The sequence below is a fragment of the Homo sapiens genome, chromosome 10 (assembly GCF_000001405.40).
Source record: "Homo sapiens chromosome 10, GRCh38.p14 Primary Assembly".
Taxonomy (NCBI): Eukaryota; Metazoa; Chordata; class Mammalia; order Primates; family Hominidae; genus Homo; species Homo sapiens.
The window spans coordinates 5,757,304-5,772,997 of record NC_000010.11 but is presented as its reverse complement, the minus strand read 5'-3'; the positions used below and the strand labels follow the sequence as shown (position 1 = coordinate 5,772,997).

At 40.4% G+C, this 15,694-nt stretch overlaps 2 protein-coding genes across 7 annotated transcripts in view; one reads left to right on the top strand and one right to left on the bottom strand.

The window, feature by feature from the left end:
• Positions 1 to 7,775, top strand: part of GDI2 (GDP dissociation inhibitor 2) — a 48,212-nt gene extending 40,437 nt beyond the window's left edge. For both annotated transcript variants that reach the window (NM_001115156.2, NM_001494.4), the window contains 4 exons: positions 4,614 to 4,785; positions 6,360 to 6,504; positions 6,703 to 6,757; positions 6,846 to 7,775. In NM_001115156.2, coding sequence (NP_001108628.1) covers positions 4,614 to 4,785; positions 6,360 to 6,504; positions 6,703 to 6,757; positions 6,846 to 6,992 — 519 coding nt within the window. In that variant the 3' untranslated portion in view covers positions 6,993 to 7,775. The remainder of the gene's footprint in view (positions 1 to 4,613; positions 4,786 to 6,359; positions 6,505 to 6,702; positions 6,758 to 6,845) is intronic.
• The window catches only part of TASOR2 (transcription activation suppressor family member 2), a 78,903-nt gene continuing 72,466 nt past the window's right edge, over positions 9,258 to 15,694 (bottom strand). For all 5 annotated transcript variants that reach the window (NM_001321783.2, NM_001321785.2, NM_001321784.2 and 2 more), the window contains 5 exons: positions 15,325 to 15,478; positions 14,006 to 14,111; positions 11,527 to 11,708; positions 10,352 to 10,466; positions 9,258 to 9,969 (listed from right to left, as the gene is read on the bottom strand). In NM_001321783.2, the coding sequence (NP_001308712.2) occupies positions 9,966 to 9,969; positions 10,352 to 10,466; positions 11,527 to 11,708; positions 14,006 to 14,111; positions 15,325 to 15,478 (561 nt within the window). In that variant the 3' untranslated portion in view covers positions 9,258 to 9,965. The remainder of the gene's footprint in view (positions 9,970 to 10,351; positions 10,467 to 11,526; positions 11,709 to 14,005; positions 14,112 to 15,324; positions 15,479 to 15,694) is intronic.

Below are 15,694 nucleotides of genomic sequence, written 5' to 3'. Positions count from 1 at the left end.
CCTTACAAGGATCCTAAGAGGCGGGTATTATGTCCAGGTTATACCTGGAGGCTTAAATGAAGAAACATCTACAAGGGCACACAGTTTAATGAATGGCTGAGGTAGAATTGGAATTAAGGTGTTCCGCACCCACAGCCCTCAGTCGTTATACACCTGAGGATGTAAATTCCTGTGCTGGGTGATGTTAGATTTGTGTGTTTTATCTACTAAAATGTTATTTATTTATTTATTTATTTGAGACATCAAATCGTTTTGCTCTGTCGCCGAGGCTGGAGTGCAGTGGCGTGATCTCAGCTCACTTCACCCTCCACCTTCCAGGTTCAAGTGATTCTCCTACCTCAGCCTCCCGAGTAGCTGGAATTACAGATGCATGCCACCATGCCTGGCTAATTTATGTATTTTTAGTAGAGATGGGGTTTCACCATGTTGGCCAGGCTGGTCTCGAACTCCCGGCCCCAAGTGATCCGCCCGCCTCAGCCTCCCAAAGTGTTGGGATTACAGGCATGAGCCACTGTGCCTGGCCTTCTAGACTGTTACTTAATTGGGTCTTTTGAACATATATTTTAGGCAACTTCTTTATAACCCTGTTTCATCTTGACTGTCGTAGTGTGATTGGCTTATCTGCTTTAAATGAAGTTACAAAGCACAAAAGAAGTCATATTTTGTTTGACATGTACATTACTAGGTTTTGTTAATGCTAACTTAATTCTCAGGTATATCAGCACAAATAGCACTGTTTACCATCCAGGTCCAACAAACTTCACTCAGCCACCTTTGTGGGGTTGGGGTCATCAGTATCACTGTCTTCCATCTCCACATCGTGTTCCACTGGAAGATCTTCATCAGGGACAGTAACACTGCTTGTACTTTCAGCATAATAGTTGTTTAGGAGATAGAGATAAATGGTGTGTTTTTTTTTTTCTTCTCAGTCACCAGGCTGGAGTGCAGTGGCACGATCTTGGTTACTGCAACTTCTGCCTTCCGGGTTCAAGTGATTCTCCTGCCTCAGCCTCCCAAGTAGCTGGGACTACAGGCATGTGCCACCATGCCCAGCTAATTTTTGTATTTTTAGTAGAGATGGGGTTTCACCATGTTGGCCAGGCTGGTCTTGGTTTCTTGACCTCGTGATCTGCCTGCCTCGGCCTCCCAAAGTGCTGGGATTACAGGTGTGAGCCACCGCGCTCGGCCAGGGATAAATGTTTTAATCTGTCTTCTGAAAGTTACTTTTATTCTGTATTTTTCTTTTGTTTCATTCTTTGTGTTTCTGAAACTTCAGGGCTTTGATATGAAAGGGAAGGAGGCTATAATACATTTATCTTGCAATTCAAGTTTTTCTTAGGAAGCATAGCCTTAAGATGATAAGGATTTTAGTCTATGTAGAGTACATTTACTGAGCATTTATTTTTTGTCAGGACACCCACCTATAATGACAGACTTTTTTACACCATTTCATTTAGTTCACTAATGTCCAACCTTTTGGCTTCCCTGTGCCACATTGGAAGAGGAAGAATTGTCTTGGGTCACACATAAAATATGCTAACAGTAATGATAGCTGGAAAAAGGGTCTGTGCATAATTTCGTGATGTCTGCCACCACAAATAAGCAAAAATGTCCTTGCATTCAAGGGGCTGGACGTGGCTGAATTTTAGTACTAACAACAATCCTTTGAGGTTAGGTAGAGCCAGGATTTGAACCCTGATCTGCCCAATTCTAAAACTTATACTTCTGAATACTGTGCAACACAGTTTTCCTAGTATTTGAACAGGATTTACAGTTCATATATCTGTTCAAGGAGAAAATAGTAGGGATAATTGGCAAAGCTAGTTTCAGTAGTTACCGACAGTTTAATAATTACCTTGACTTTTATATTCATTAGATTATGAAGATAACAGATTATATTCAAGGGAAAATTACATTAATATACTGTTTAAAACATTATAGACACTGAATATTAGTCTTTTTCCCTCCATTTTTTTTTTTTGTGATAAAGTACCCATAAAATTTACCATCTTTTTTTTTTTTTTTTTTTTTTTTGAGACAGTCTCACTTTGTTGCCCAGGCTGGAGTGCAGTGGCGTGATCTTGGCTCACTGCAACCTCTGCCTCCTAGGTTCAAGCAATTCTCCTGCCTCAACCTCCTGAGTAGCTGGGATTACAGGTGCCCACCACCACACCCAGCTAATTTTTGTATTTTTAGTAGAGATGGGGTTTCACCAGGTTGGCCAGGCTGGTCTCAAACTCCTGACCTCAGGTGATCTGCCTGCCTCGGCCTCCCAAAGTGCTGGGATTACAGGCGTCAGCCACTGCGCCCGGCCAGAATTTACCATCTTAACCATTGTTAAGTGTACAGTTCAGTGGTATTAAATATATTCACATCATTATACAACCACCACAACCACCATTCATCTCCATAACACTTTTCCTCTTCTTTTTTTTTGAGATGGAGTCTCACTCTGTCGCCCAAGCTGGAGTGCAGTGGCATGATCTTGGCTCACTGCAATCTCTGCCTCCCGTATTCAAGTGATTCTCCTGCCTCAGCCTCCCCAGGTAGCTGGGATTATAGATGCATACCACCACGCCCGGCTAGTTTTTGTATTTTTAGTAGAGACAGGGTTTCCCCATGTTGGCCAGGCTGGTCTTGAACTCCTAACCTCAAATGATCCACCCACCTTGGCCTCCCAAAGTGCTGGGATTTTATAGGTGTGAGCCACTGTGCCCACACTCACTTTTCCTCTTCTAAAGGAAACTACCAATTAAGTAATAACTCCTCGTTCTCTGCTTCCAGCCACTGGCAAGCACCATTCTACTTTCTTTCTCTATGATTTTAACTACTATATTTTATATAAACGGAATAATATAGTATTTGCCTTCTTGTGACTAGTTTATTTCACTTAGCATGATGTCCATGGTTCATCTGTGTTGTAGCATGTGTCAGAATTTCCTTTTTAAGGCTGAATAATATTCCAATGTATGGAAAGATAGACCATAGTTTGCTTATCCATTCATCGATACCTGGATTGCTTCCATGTTTTTGTGAATGTATTGTGAATAATGCTACTCTGAAAATGGGTGTACAAATGTCTCATCAAGACCATGCGTTTAGTTCTTTTGGGTGTGTACCCAGAAGTGGAATTGCTAGATCATATGGTAATTCTGTTTTTAATGTTTGAGAAACTGCCATACCATTTTCCATAGTGGCTGGACCATTTTACATTCCTGTCAGTAGTGGACAAGAAGTTCCAGTTTCTCCATATCCTTGACACTTAATTTTGTTTTGATAGTAGCAATCTTAACGGTTGTGAGGTAGTAGCTCACTGAAGTTATGATTAGTGATGTTGAACATCTTTGCATGTGCTTATTGGCCACTTACATATCTTCTTTGGAAAAATGTCTATTCAAGTCCTTCGATTTTTTTTTTTTTTTTCTTTTGAGACGGAGTTTTGCTCATTGCCCAGCCTGGAGTGCAATGGCGTGATCTCGGCTTACCATAACCTCCATCTCCCAGATTCAAGCGATTCTCCTGCCTCAGCCTCCCGAGTAGCTGGGACTACAGGCATGCGCCACCGTGCCCAGCTAATTTTGTATTTTTAGTAGAGACGAGGTATCTCCATGTTGGTCAGGCTGGTCTCCAACTCCTGACCTCTGGTGATCCGCCTGTCTTGGCCTCCCGAAGTGCTGGGATTACAGACGTGAGCCACCGCGCCCAGCCCTTTGATCATTTTTGAATCAGGGTTTTTTTTGTTGTTGTTTTAGGAGTTCTTGATGTATTGTGGATATTAATCCCTTATTTGCAGATATTTTCTCTCATTCTGTGAGTTGCCTCAACTCTTGATTAGTGTCTTCTGATGCAAAAATTTCTTTATTGTTTTTTTAAAAGAGACAGTGTCTTGCTGTGTGTTGCCCAAGCTGGACTCAAAGTCTTGGGCTCAAGCAATTCTCCTGCCTCAGCCTCCCAAGTAGCTGGGGTTACAGGCACATGCCACCATGCCTGGCTATGCACAAGATTTTTAAAATTTTCATGAAATCCTGTTTTCATGAATTCTTTCCTTTGTTGCCTGTGTCTTTGGTTTTAGATACAAGGAATTACTGCCAACTCCAATGTCATGAAGCTTTTGCACTGTTTTCTCCTAAGAGTTTTATAGTTTTAGATACCACATTTAGGTCTTTGTTCCATTTTTAGTTTTTGTGGATGGTGTCAGGTAGGGTCCAACTTCATTCTTTTGCATGTGGATAGTTTTCCCAGGACGGTTTGTTGAAATGACTTTTTTTCCCCTCATTGAATGGTCTTTGCAACTTTGTCAAAAATCACTGTACTGTGGATGCGAGGGTTTATTTCTGGCTCTCTCCTCGTTTCATTGGTCCATACGTTTGTCATTATGCCAGTACCACACTGAATTGATCACTGTAGCTTTTTAGTGAGTGAGTCCTCCAGCTTTGCTGTTCTTCTTTTAAGATTGTTTTGGTTGTTCCAGAATTCAATCCCTTGGGAACCAATATGAACTTGAGGATGGTTTTTGATATCTTAACAATACTAAGTCTTCCAAACTATGAACATGGGATGTGTTTCCCTATATCCTTGTCCGCTTCAGTGTCTTCTTAAATGCTTTGTTATAGATTGCTCGCTGTAAGCAGCTCATCTGTGACCCCAGCTACGTAAAAGATCGGGTAGAAAAAGTGGGCCAGGTGATCAGAGTTATTTGCATCCTCAGCCACCCCATCAAGAACACCAATGATGCCAACTCCTGCCAGATCATTATTCCACAGAACCAAGTCAATCGAAAGTCAGGTGAGGTTTGAAGACCAGCAGATGTTGGTAGAATTTTGTAAGATATAATTTGCTTTGTGTTTTATCCCAAATTCCTAATTTTGTATGCTGTATTAGTGAACAGACCTTGGTTTACATATGGGGGAAAAAAATCTTTGTACCTCCTCCTGCTCCGGCAGCATTGTGTCAACGCGGACAGATTCAACTCGGAGCCAGCCTTGGACTTGTGTCCATCACCTGTAGAATGAACAGACTGGGCTTGGTGAACCCTGCGTCTCCCAGCTCTAACTAACAGTAGGTTCCTGTGGAGGTTTATGCTTAATAGTTAACTGACCCGAGTATATTCTTGAGCTAATGACATAGCTGCTTCTGTGTCCTTATTTGTAATCCTAGTACCTACATTTGATTCTAGCAGTGTCCACCTTTCATTTCTGTGATCAGGACATGGCTCTAAAATTGCAAGTCCTAACTTATTTGTCTTAGCCAGTTGTTTGTAACCCTTCGATGTTCCCATTTTCCTTTCAACTAGAAGCCCCAAATCTTTTTATTTATCTAAAATTCAGCTTAAAAAGGGTAATCAGGCTTTATGGGACAGGTAAGAGCTATCTGTATAATGATTTTTTTTCCCCCATATAAGAAATGAAATCATGGGAGGCCAAGGCAGGAGGCTTGCTTGAGGCCAGGGGTTCAAGACCAGCCTGGGTAACATAGTGAGAGCTCGTCTCTACAAAAACAAAAAACAAACAAACAAAAATGGCTAGGTGTGGTGGCACACACCTGTAGTCCTAGCTACTTGGGAGGCTGCGGTGGGAGAGGATCACTTGAGCTCAGGAGTTTGAGGTTACTGTAAGCTGTGATTGCATCCCTGTCTCCAACCTGGGTGACAGAGCCAGACTGTTAAAACACAAAAAAAAACCAATCACAAAAGATGATCTGTAGAACAAAGGGACTGGACTTAATCTTCCACAAGGTTCCCAGGCGGGTCCTGGGTCCTTGCAAGTCTGAAAAGAATAAAGGAGGTCCCAGAGTTTTTTTTTTTTGGCCTTTAAATGCTCTCCTATCCAAATGATTTTCTATCCTGGAAATGACACAGTTAACTGGATGAGTGGTATACAGACCAAGTCTAATCGAGAATTCTATCGTTATGCCAACTCAAAAGTGGTTTATGTGGATTCTGCAGTTTTACATTACTGTAATAAGTAAATGAGGACGTCAGTACTAAGTACATCCTTTCTTAGCCATTCAGAACCTTTCTAAATGCAAGGTCCAGAATGGAAGAATCTCCCAGAATAGTTAATATGGTTTGGCAGGTTTTTTAGTTAGGTATGACAGAGCTGTTAAGAGATCTCATTCCAAACTTCAGCAGTTCGCTACCACTTCAATTCTTAATCTCTAGTAGGTTAAAAGAAATTCCTATTGTTAAATATCTGTGTACTTTACATCCAACTCTGTCACCATTTAGAACTTAAGTGTAGAAGATCTTGCCTATTGAGAGTAATTTTAACTCACACCTCATGACATATGGGTGATACCTGAGTATGTTGGGTCCCAGATGGAGACACTTGAGGCAGTGAGCTGGTATCATTTGTTTCTAGATATCTACGTCTGCATGATCTCCTTTGCGCACAATGTAGCAGCACAAGGGAAGTACATTGCTATAGTTAGTACAACTGTGGAAACCAAGGAGCCTGAGAAGGAAATCAGACCAGCTTTGGAGCTCTTGGAACCAATTGAACAGAAGTGAGTTGTGTTCTTTTATATCTGCCGAGATGCAAACTGAGGCCTTTGATTGTGGCTCCATGGTGGGACGAATGTGAGGGCAAGGCAGGTAGCTGCTGGCTGCTCTGTGGGATTCATCTGTACCTCTCAGTTGACCTCAGGCAGAGCCATGGTCAGGTGTGGGACCAGCTCACCTGACTGAATTCTCTCTCCCTCCAGATTTGTTAGCATCAGTGACCTCCTGGTACCAAAAGACTTGGGAACAGAAAGCCAGGTGAGTATGGAAGTGTGAAAGGATATGGGCAGGTTTCACTGGAAGACATCCCTCCATGGTCTTAAGTCTTCGTAATTTTTGTTTTCAGATCTTTATTTCCCGCACATATGATGCCACCACTCATTTTGAGACAACGTGTGATGACATTAAAAACATCTATAAGAGGATGACAGGATCAGAGTTTGACTTTGAGGAAATGAAGCGCAAGAAGAATGACATCTATGGGGAAGACTAACAGCAGTACATGTTATTATGTAATTAGGACACATTTAAAATTTGGCAAATAATGCATATAATGAAATCAATATTGTAAGGCCTGCTTTTGTAATGAAAATGGAGAGAATGAAGAGCGCTGTGCCAGTAAATACTCCCCTTCACCTTTCTAATTATTAACTTGTTTTCATGGAGTGGCTATTCAGCATTGGCAGTTACCACATTCTGTTCAATTTAACCAAACTGGCTTTTTTTTTTTCTAGTGAAGTTAAACAAACATTGGGATACCGACACAGACAACTTGAGACAGTTTTTTTAATCTTTTAATCAGTGTAGCTATGTGCTGCTGCTGCTCAAGAGCTGGATCCATACAGGTTGTGTGTCATCTGTCCTCTTGAGGTTCAGGAGATTCTAAATTGAATATTCCACGGTTTGGGACAGCATCCGGAAGTTTTCCCTATGACTTTATATTTTGTATTATGTCAAATGTTATGGCAGGGCCCAAATAGCATAGCCACAAGTTTGGTTTATGTGGGCATAAAATTCTAACCAAACCCCAGACATAGGGAGTCATTTGGAGAAAGCCTGTATGTGGTGTTTTAACCTAATAAAGTTGATGAGAGAGAAGGGGAGAGGAAGCGAACATAAAGCGGGTCAAGTGTAGTGCATCTTTTGTATCTCAGGCGTGGCTTCTTCAGTGGACCAAGCTGCAATGCAGTATTGACTTGACAGAGCCTCTACTTCTGTCTCAAAATGGCTCCAAATGATTTCTGTACTGCAAAATAAAGCCAAATTCTGGAAACTACTGCCCGGTGTTGGTTTGTGTGTCCTGATTGCAAGGGTCACAGCTGCCGTGCTTCCTTTGGTAGCACTGGAGTCAATGCCAGTCAGAATGCTCAGCAGCGGAAAGCGTGGGTGTCTTCTGATCTGGAAGGATCACAGCAGGTCCTGTCGTCTGGCTTCCCTGTGAGTAGACCTCGAGTTTTATTCTTGACACAGTACCATTACTAGACCTATCATCTTTGTGCAGAAAAAATAGTGTTTAATGATTTTGCTTGTAGCAGCAGTTATAAGGGAGTAAGTGAACTGTCAGGTAGAGTAGGTGCTTTAGTAAATAATTTTTGTGTAGTTGAAATGATAAAGTGTTTACATATAAGGCCCTTTCCCCTGACAGTGATGAGCCTCACGGCAGATGCTGTTGTTTACCACAGATAAACACTGACTCTTCAGAGTATGAAGGAGACAGACTAAGGTAGATGATGTGTTAAAGGAACTAGGGTGGTGATTTAGATTGTTATTCATATTGCCAAAATGATGGAGCTTCTCGACTTCAGTTGATGTTTTGGGCTGGATCATTCTCTGTTGATAGGGTTGATTGTAGCAGCATCCCTGGCCTCCACACACTAGATGGCAACAGCACCATCTTGGAATGACAACCAAAAATGTCTCCAGATGTTGAGAACCACTGCTTTACCTGTATGATAAAATTATCTGAAGTCCCAGCAAGCCTTTTTCTCTTCCCATGCAAAGGCCCAAGCTGGGTTAGTAATAAGTGAAAAAAGAAAAACCACGCATCTTCATATTCTTCATTCAACGTATTTACTGAATACCTTGTGTGCCAGGCCAGTGGAGACAAAGATGATAATGGTAGTTACTGGGATAACTCAGTTTGGTGAACACATGATGTGGTTTGGTTATTAGTAGAGTTACAGAAAAGGTAGCATGGAAACTGAGATGGCCTCGTGGGTGTTGGAAGGCTTTTCAGCAAGGGGAGGTGAATGTTATTAGGTCCAACCTGAAAGGTGCATATTTCAGGCAGATAGATAGGTGTTTGGCATCTTATAACTGCTCACTTTCCTTTTCCTTAGTAATCTGAAAGTAATTCACTGTACTGAATAGTTAATGGTTCCCTTAATAGACTCTTGTCCTTGGAAAAATAAAATGAAATGACTGGGGTTCTATTAGTAACTGAAAAATTGTCAACAATTAAAACTCTAAAACCTACTCATGAGAAAATAAAGCTCTTTTGTTTAGGAATAATAAAAGCCGACTTAATGACTTCTGAAAGAAGTAAGTGTCCCTGTAAAGGCCAGGTGAAACTGCCATTCTTTAACCTGTTACTCGGTGTACTTGACTGCGGAAAGAACCCAGAAACAGAACAGGCCAGGCCCAAAGGATAGAAGTGTAGGTTTCCTCTGGAAGCTTACTGTTCTGCTAAATGACCTAAAAATTGCTAGAACACTCCAGATAAGTCAATTTCTGCTATAAAAATCATTGCAGAAAGAGATTATTTTTAGTTGTCTTTATTTAAAAAATGAAACACATTAGTTACAAAAACCGTTGCTCCAAATAGATACCGTGTATCTTACAAATGTTTTTTGCTTGGTTTTGAGTGTTTACTGTAGAAATTTTCAATATCATAAATAAATGATTATTTCTTTCTCAGAAAGCTGATTTTTGTAGTGTAGTATTTACAAATACCGTAAGTGAAAAATGATAGTTTATAAATTTGTACCATTTAGGAAAAAATGTTTTATGTAGTGTTGTTTGTGTAACAGCAAATAAAACCATTTAAGATTATAGTTTTTACAAGGGTGGTAAAACCTTTAAAACAGAGCATAATGTGCATCGTATGCCTTTCTGACATTAGCATGCAAAAACAAAGCTATTTGTTAAAATAGACTTATTTTTGCTCCAACTAAGTAAACATGTAAAATTATTTTTAATAAGCTCAATAGCTTAGAAGGCATCTTGTTTAAAATGAAAATAATTTAAAACAATATCTAGCACTGCAACCCAAAGCTAACAGACAACTGCAATGCCACTGTGACATATTTCAGCAAAATATAAAAAATGAAAACTTTCCAAGTTGTAGAACATTGGTTTTTCAAATGTAAGACTGTTCACATGTGTATTCACATGTTCACAAGTTTTCCAAAGGGAAAATACTAATTTTTTATTGGCATCATCCATATCCAGGCAGGCTGTAGTTGAGTCACCTGAAGAAACACAAAATTGATAAAGAACTTCTTAAAATAATACGAACAAGAAATATTTTATAAGCGGGATGCTCTAATGGGGAAAACGCCTATGCATTCTAAGGTTACATTATGTTCTGTACTGACGATCCAAGTTAACAGCAAGTGAAAATGCACATTAGATAAAATAGGTAATTTTAGTAGATGGTTACTTCATTTAGTGATAATTTAGGAATTCCTATTTATGCCAAATAGCAATTCCACCCCTAAACAAACACTTTAAATTTATAGCATGAAGTATGTAAACAACAGTTTCCCAACTGTTTCCCTTAGACACAAATGTCAATATTTGCCATCAACAACTCCAACTCACATGGGAAAGTTACATAAAAAGTGTTCTTACCAATAGCTACTCCTAAATGGAGCTGCTATTTTTTCTATGTTTTCTATAAAGTTATTTACATCTGTAACAAGGATTCCACTATTTTCAAAGACTTCTCTGGGGATAGTAGGCTTGTCTGTTAAAAAAAAAAAAAAACAACTTTTGGTTAATATAATTAATGTACTTTTATATAACAGGACCTGGTTTTTTATTTTAAAAAATCTGTGGAACTTCCTCGTGTGAGGGGTAGGGGGAGAAAAGGTGTTGGGTTCCAAATTAAGAAAAGATTTGAAGCTTTGGAAATAGATGCCTCCATCGGGGGTGGTGGTTAAAGTACTGAAAAAAAATCCCTGAAAAATGATAACTATGGTTCTTTACGTAAATTTTTCTTAACACTTTTTTTTTTTTTTTTTTAAAGATAGATAGGGTCTTGTTCTGCCACCCAGGTTACAGTGCAGTGGTGTGATGACGGCTCACTGCAGCCTCGAGCAATCCTTCTGCCTTAACCCAAGTAGCTAGGACTATAGGCACACATCACCACACCTGCCAACTTCTGTAGAGATGAGGTCTCGCTAAGTTGCCCAGGCTGGCCTCAAATTCCTGGGCTCAGTGATCCACCTGCTTCAGCCTCCCAAAGTGCTGGCATTACAGGCGTGAGCCACTGTCCCTGGCTGCCCCACAAATTTTTTAAAAGCAACCTCTGCCTCCGGGGTTCAAGCCATTCTCCTGCCTCGGCCTCCCAAGTAGCTGGGACTACTGGCATGAACCACCACACCTGACTAATTTTTGTATTTTTAGTAGAGATGGGGTTTCACCATGTTGGCTAGGCTGGTCTCTAACTCCTGACCTCAAGTGATCCGCCCGCCTCGGCCTCCCAAAGTGCTGGGATTACAGGTGTGAGCCACTGCACCCAGCCCCAGTATTGATTTAAAAAATAATACGGTATAACTACTTATACTGTATTGAGTATTATAAGTAATCTAGAACTGACTTACATACATAGGAGGATTGTGTAGTTACCTGCAAATACTACATTTTATATAAGGGCTTCAGCTTCAGCAGATTTGGGTGATTCTGGTATCCATGGGATGCCAAGCCATTTAGATACCTGATACTCTTCATCAGGTATCTAACTTTGACATTCCTAGAGCTGACCAATTTTGGCATTAACTGAGTAAAATGCGCCTGTGAATTACCTGTTAGGAGGACAGCAAACCTGGCATCAATATGCTGAATTTGCAGGTTTAGCAAACATTTCAGAATTTCTGCTTTTGTTGATGATCGAGAGTCACACTGGTGATAATGAAGCAATTCAATGATATTTGCACTCTGAAATGACTTCAACATTATGTTCTTCTTATGTGCAGTTGAATCCACTCTGTGAAAGATACATAGGCATATTAAAATATTTTTCAGTTTTATTCTTAGGACTTTTTCTTGCCTTCAGTTTAACCATTCAAACTCATGAGTTCCTCTGCCTTTCTTCTTGACGTTCTTTTTCATGACACACTTTGGTTACCTCAAAACATCACAATTGTACCTACTCCTTTTGTAAATGTGGATTTTAAACATGGGCCTCATTCTAAGAGGGACATCATGCATCTACCTACGACCAATCAAGCCATGTGGCTTGGCAAGCCTTTCATGAATTTCGAGTGGGCCTTATTGCGTTGTATATTTGTAGAGCAATGCACATCTATACTTCTCATACCTTGTGGGCAGATAATCGCCAACTTCATTAAAATTAGGTAGCAGCCAGAATTTTCTTGGTTTCTTGCTTCCCTGAAAATTCTATCACTACTAGGAAAATGTGTTAACTCAGTATGTTTAAATTTTTAGCATTTCTGTCTCTGCTCGACTCCCGTCTCTCTAGTTTTCATCACTTACATTCTCATGCTTGTTGGAGAAAACCCAAATCACACCCATTCCCATAACCCTAGTGATAATCACTCTTAACATCATGAATTAATTTCCTTTCACTTTTTCCTGTATAAATTTTTTATGACATCATACTGAACATAGTTACATGATACCAACTTTTATGCCATCCCTCTTTCTATGAATAGAAACTTTTTACATGCTTCTATTGTGTAAGTTTTGGGTGGGCATTATTTTGTATAAACTTTAAAATATTTAACTGTAGTCTGCATATCTCCCTCCTAGAGATGGAACTGAGGTTGGTTTTGCAATGACTGATAACCACCTAGAATTTTGGGTAAATTCCACAAAAGGTCAAAGGATATGAAGAGTTTTCTAATGAGTTCTCAATAATACATAACGCCTGTTACATAATGCCAGAGTGGTATAATATGAAGAGCATACTGCAGCGCCAACAGCAGTGAGTACGGGCATGTACCACATAATGATGTTTCAGTCAATGACGGACCACATATACAATGGTGGTCCCATAAAATTATACTACTGTAATTTACTGAACCTTTTTTGTGTTTAGACACACAGATACCACCATTGCATTAAATCTGCCTACAGTATTCAGTACAGTCACATGTACAGGTTTGCAATCTAGGAGTAGGCTCTACCATATCAGTTTGTGTAAGTACACTCTATGTCTGCACATAGACAAAATCGTCTTATGACGTTTCTCAGGCTGTATCCCCGTCGTTAAGTGACATGACTTTCTCTACCCAAAGCCCTAGAAGTGCTAGATTGATTTATGCTTATTTTATAGGTGTGCTGTGGTACATCAGAACCTTAAATGTGCTTCTCTACTTACCGAAGTTGACGTTTTTCCCCTCAAGTGCTGGTTACTGAAGTCCGCTGTGAATGGTCATACCCTTGACCTGCTGAAGCCTTTGCACCCTCCTTTCCTGCCAAGGAAACCTCTGTGCTCCTTCTCTCCTTTGCTAGCTCCACTTCAAGAGAAAAGCTTTCTGAGATTCTGTTCCTCAAAGGTCACATACAGCTAACAGTCGTTTCGTCTTTCTGGGATTGAAACCCAGCTTCATAACTTACTACTTGTTTGACCTTGGTCATGTTTGTTATCTACTCTGCTTCAGTTCTGCATTATAAAAGTGAGGATTTGCTATCTAGCTCCTGGGGATGAAGTCTGAATGAAAATGGATGCACCTAACAGTGCCTGAAATCCTTATTTCACAAGGGCTTGTCAGGTCTGCTTTTCCAATTGGTCCTGCTTGTGAGAATGTGGAGGAATCTCTCAGCCCCAGCTCTCTTCAGCCAAGGAATCAAACATGTATTTTTTTCTTTTATAAATTACAGCTTTAGACTTAGTGAAGTTTGCGTATTTATAAGCCTCTTCTTTTAGGGTACAACTGAATTAAGGATAGATTATGGTCTTAATTTTTCCATTCTCCTTAAAGTGGTGGCAACTTATAAGTATCCAAAAAAGCATTAATGGTACAAGTTCCATATATTTTTTAAAGTTTGTAGTAGTAGGGCTTAAATAGAATATGGACATTTCATGACTGCTAAGTTTGACTCCCTTACTTCTGTTAGTCTAGATAAGTACATGCCTCATACTGTTGGCTACGGTCACAGCACATAGCTTCCTTCATTGAATACAGAGCCAGCAGCCCTCATGCTCTTTACTGATGAAGGCCATTCCACTGCAGCACTAGGCTAGAGCCCATGGAACATGAGGCGTTTCTCTGCTACCCCAGCAGGGCAGGAGGAACCATACACACAGCAAGTCCTTACCTTTCATCTTCTTTTAGCTTTTTATTTTCCCTGTAGTGAAGCAACCACTTCCATCTTCCATTTCCATTTAGTTTTTCCAGGATTTTGATAATTTCCTTCAGTTGAACTACAAAACAATAAATGTAGCAAAAGAAGATGACAAGTTTAAGGTACTTTTGGCTCATGCCAAGCCCAGTGATAATTATTTGTAAAACAAGAAAAAAACAGACTAAGACCCATGGTTGAGTACACACCATCACTGTCACTTATGTGGTTGGGCAGCATCCTGCTCTCACAAGCCCCTCAGCCTGGTCCCACCTGCTCACACTATGGTGGGAGATAACTCTGTAGACACGAACACAGTGGAGTGGTCACCAGCAACTAGAGTTCTGTGTACAAATTGTGTGACAGAAGAGAAGCAGGAGGCCCCGATGCAGTAGAGAAATGAAGTTTCTAAATACAGAATCCTTTTTTTTTGAGACAGGGTTTCGGCTGTCACCCAGGCTGGAGTGTGGTGGCATGATCTCAGCTCACTATAGCCTCAACCTCCTGGGCTCAAGTAATCCTCCATCCTTAGTCTCCTTAGCTGGGACTACAGGCACACACTACCACAGCTGGCTAGTATTTTTATTTTTTGTAGAGATGGGATCTCACTATGTTGCCCAGGCTGGTCTTGAACTCCTGATCTCCAGGGATCCTCCTGCCTTGGCCTCCCAAAGTGTTGGGATTACAGACGTGTGCCTACAAATATTTAAAATCCCAGGTTCTGTGTAGAAGTCACACTGGTTAAGGTACATGCTGCTTTTGATCTAGAAGTGGTATCACTTCCAATGTGATCAGAGCCGGGGCAGGTTTTATACATAAAAGTGCCCTGAGAGAAGTAAAGTATGAGTTTTCAAGTAGATGATTAAATAAGCTGACTTAGTAGCCATTTTTTAGATTTTTGTGACATCAAGATGGTAGGGGTGTTGACATCAGAAATGGAGAAGGTTGACTTTAAGCAAACAATTTAATATGGAGCTGCTCTGACTTGGCAAGTGAAGAGACTAAATATAATAAAATCCTGAATTTGTGTTACTAGGAGCTTAGCTGCACTACCGAGAGGGAGGGAACTCAGAAGCAAGTGTGGTGGTAAGAATCAGTTAAAAGAGGTGAAAAGCATTGCTATAAGAGAATCACTGTATGAAAAGAGCACAGCAGACAGCAGAAATTATGCCTCAGTAGGGGGCAACTGATATTCCTTAGAGTTGATCATTTCTTTTGGATGAAACAGTATTTAGGTCACTGGGTGAGAAGTTGATCTGACTTCAAAGAAACAGGAAAAGAAAATAAAGACCAACCTAATGTTACAGCTTCTAGTATCTTGTCATCTGATATCACAAAGCCTCCTGCACGAAACAGTTCTTGGTAGGTGTGATCAAGAACATCTCCAGGGCTGTCTACTCCAGCAAAGATGACACTGGGGAAATGCTTCAGCTTCAGCAAAGAAGGAATCTGCATGACACAAAAAGGACCCCGGTGAAGAGAGGCTCACTGGGCACATTTTCTTAGACACTCCCTTGCTTTTCTATCCAAGAGAGTCAAGGTTCAGGAACAACTGAAAATATTTCAACCTGGATTACCGACTGGTCATTCTGCCCTGCATGAGGCATATTAACTGAGCTCATCATCACCAGGGGCTGCAAACTCAACAAAATTAGTTCATTAAAA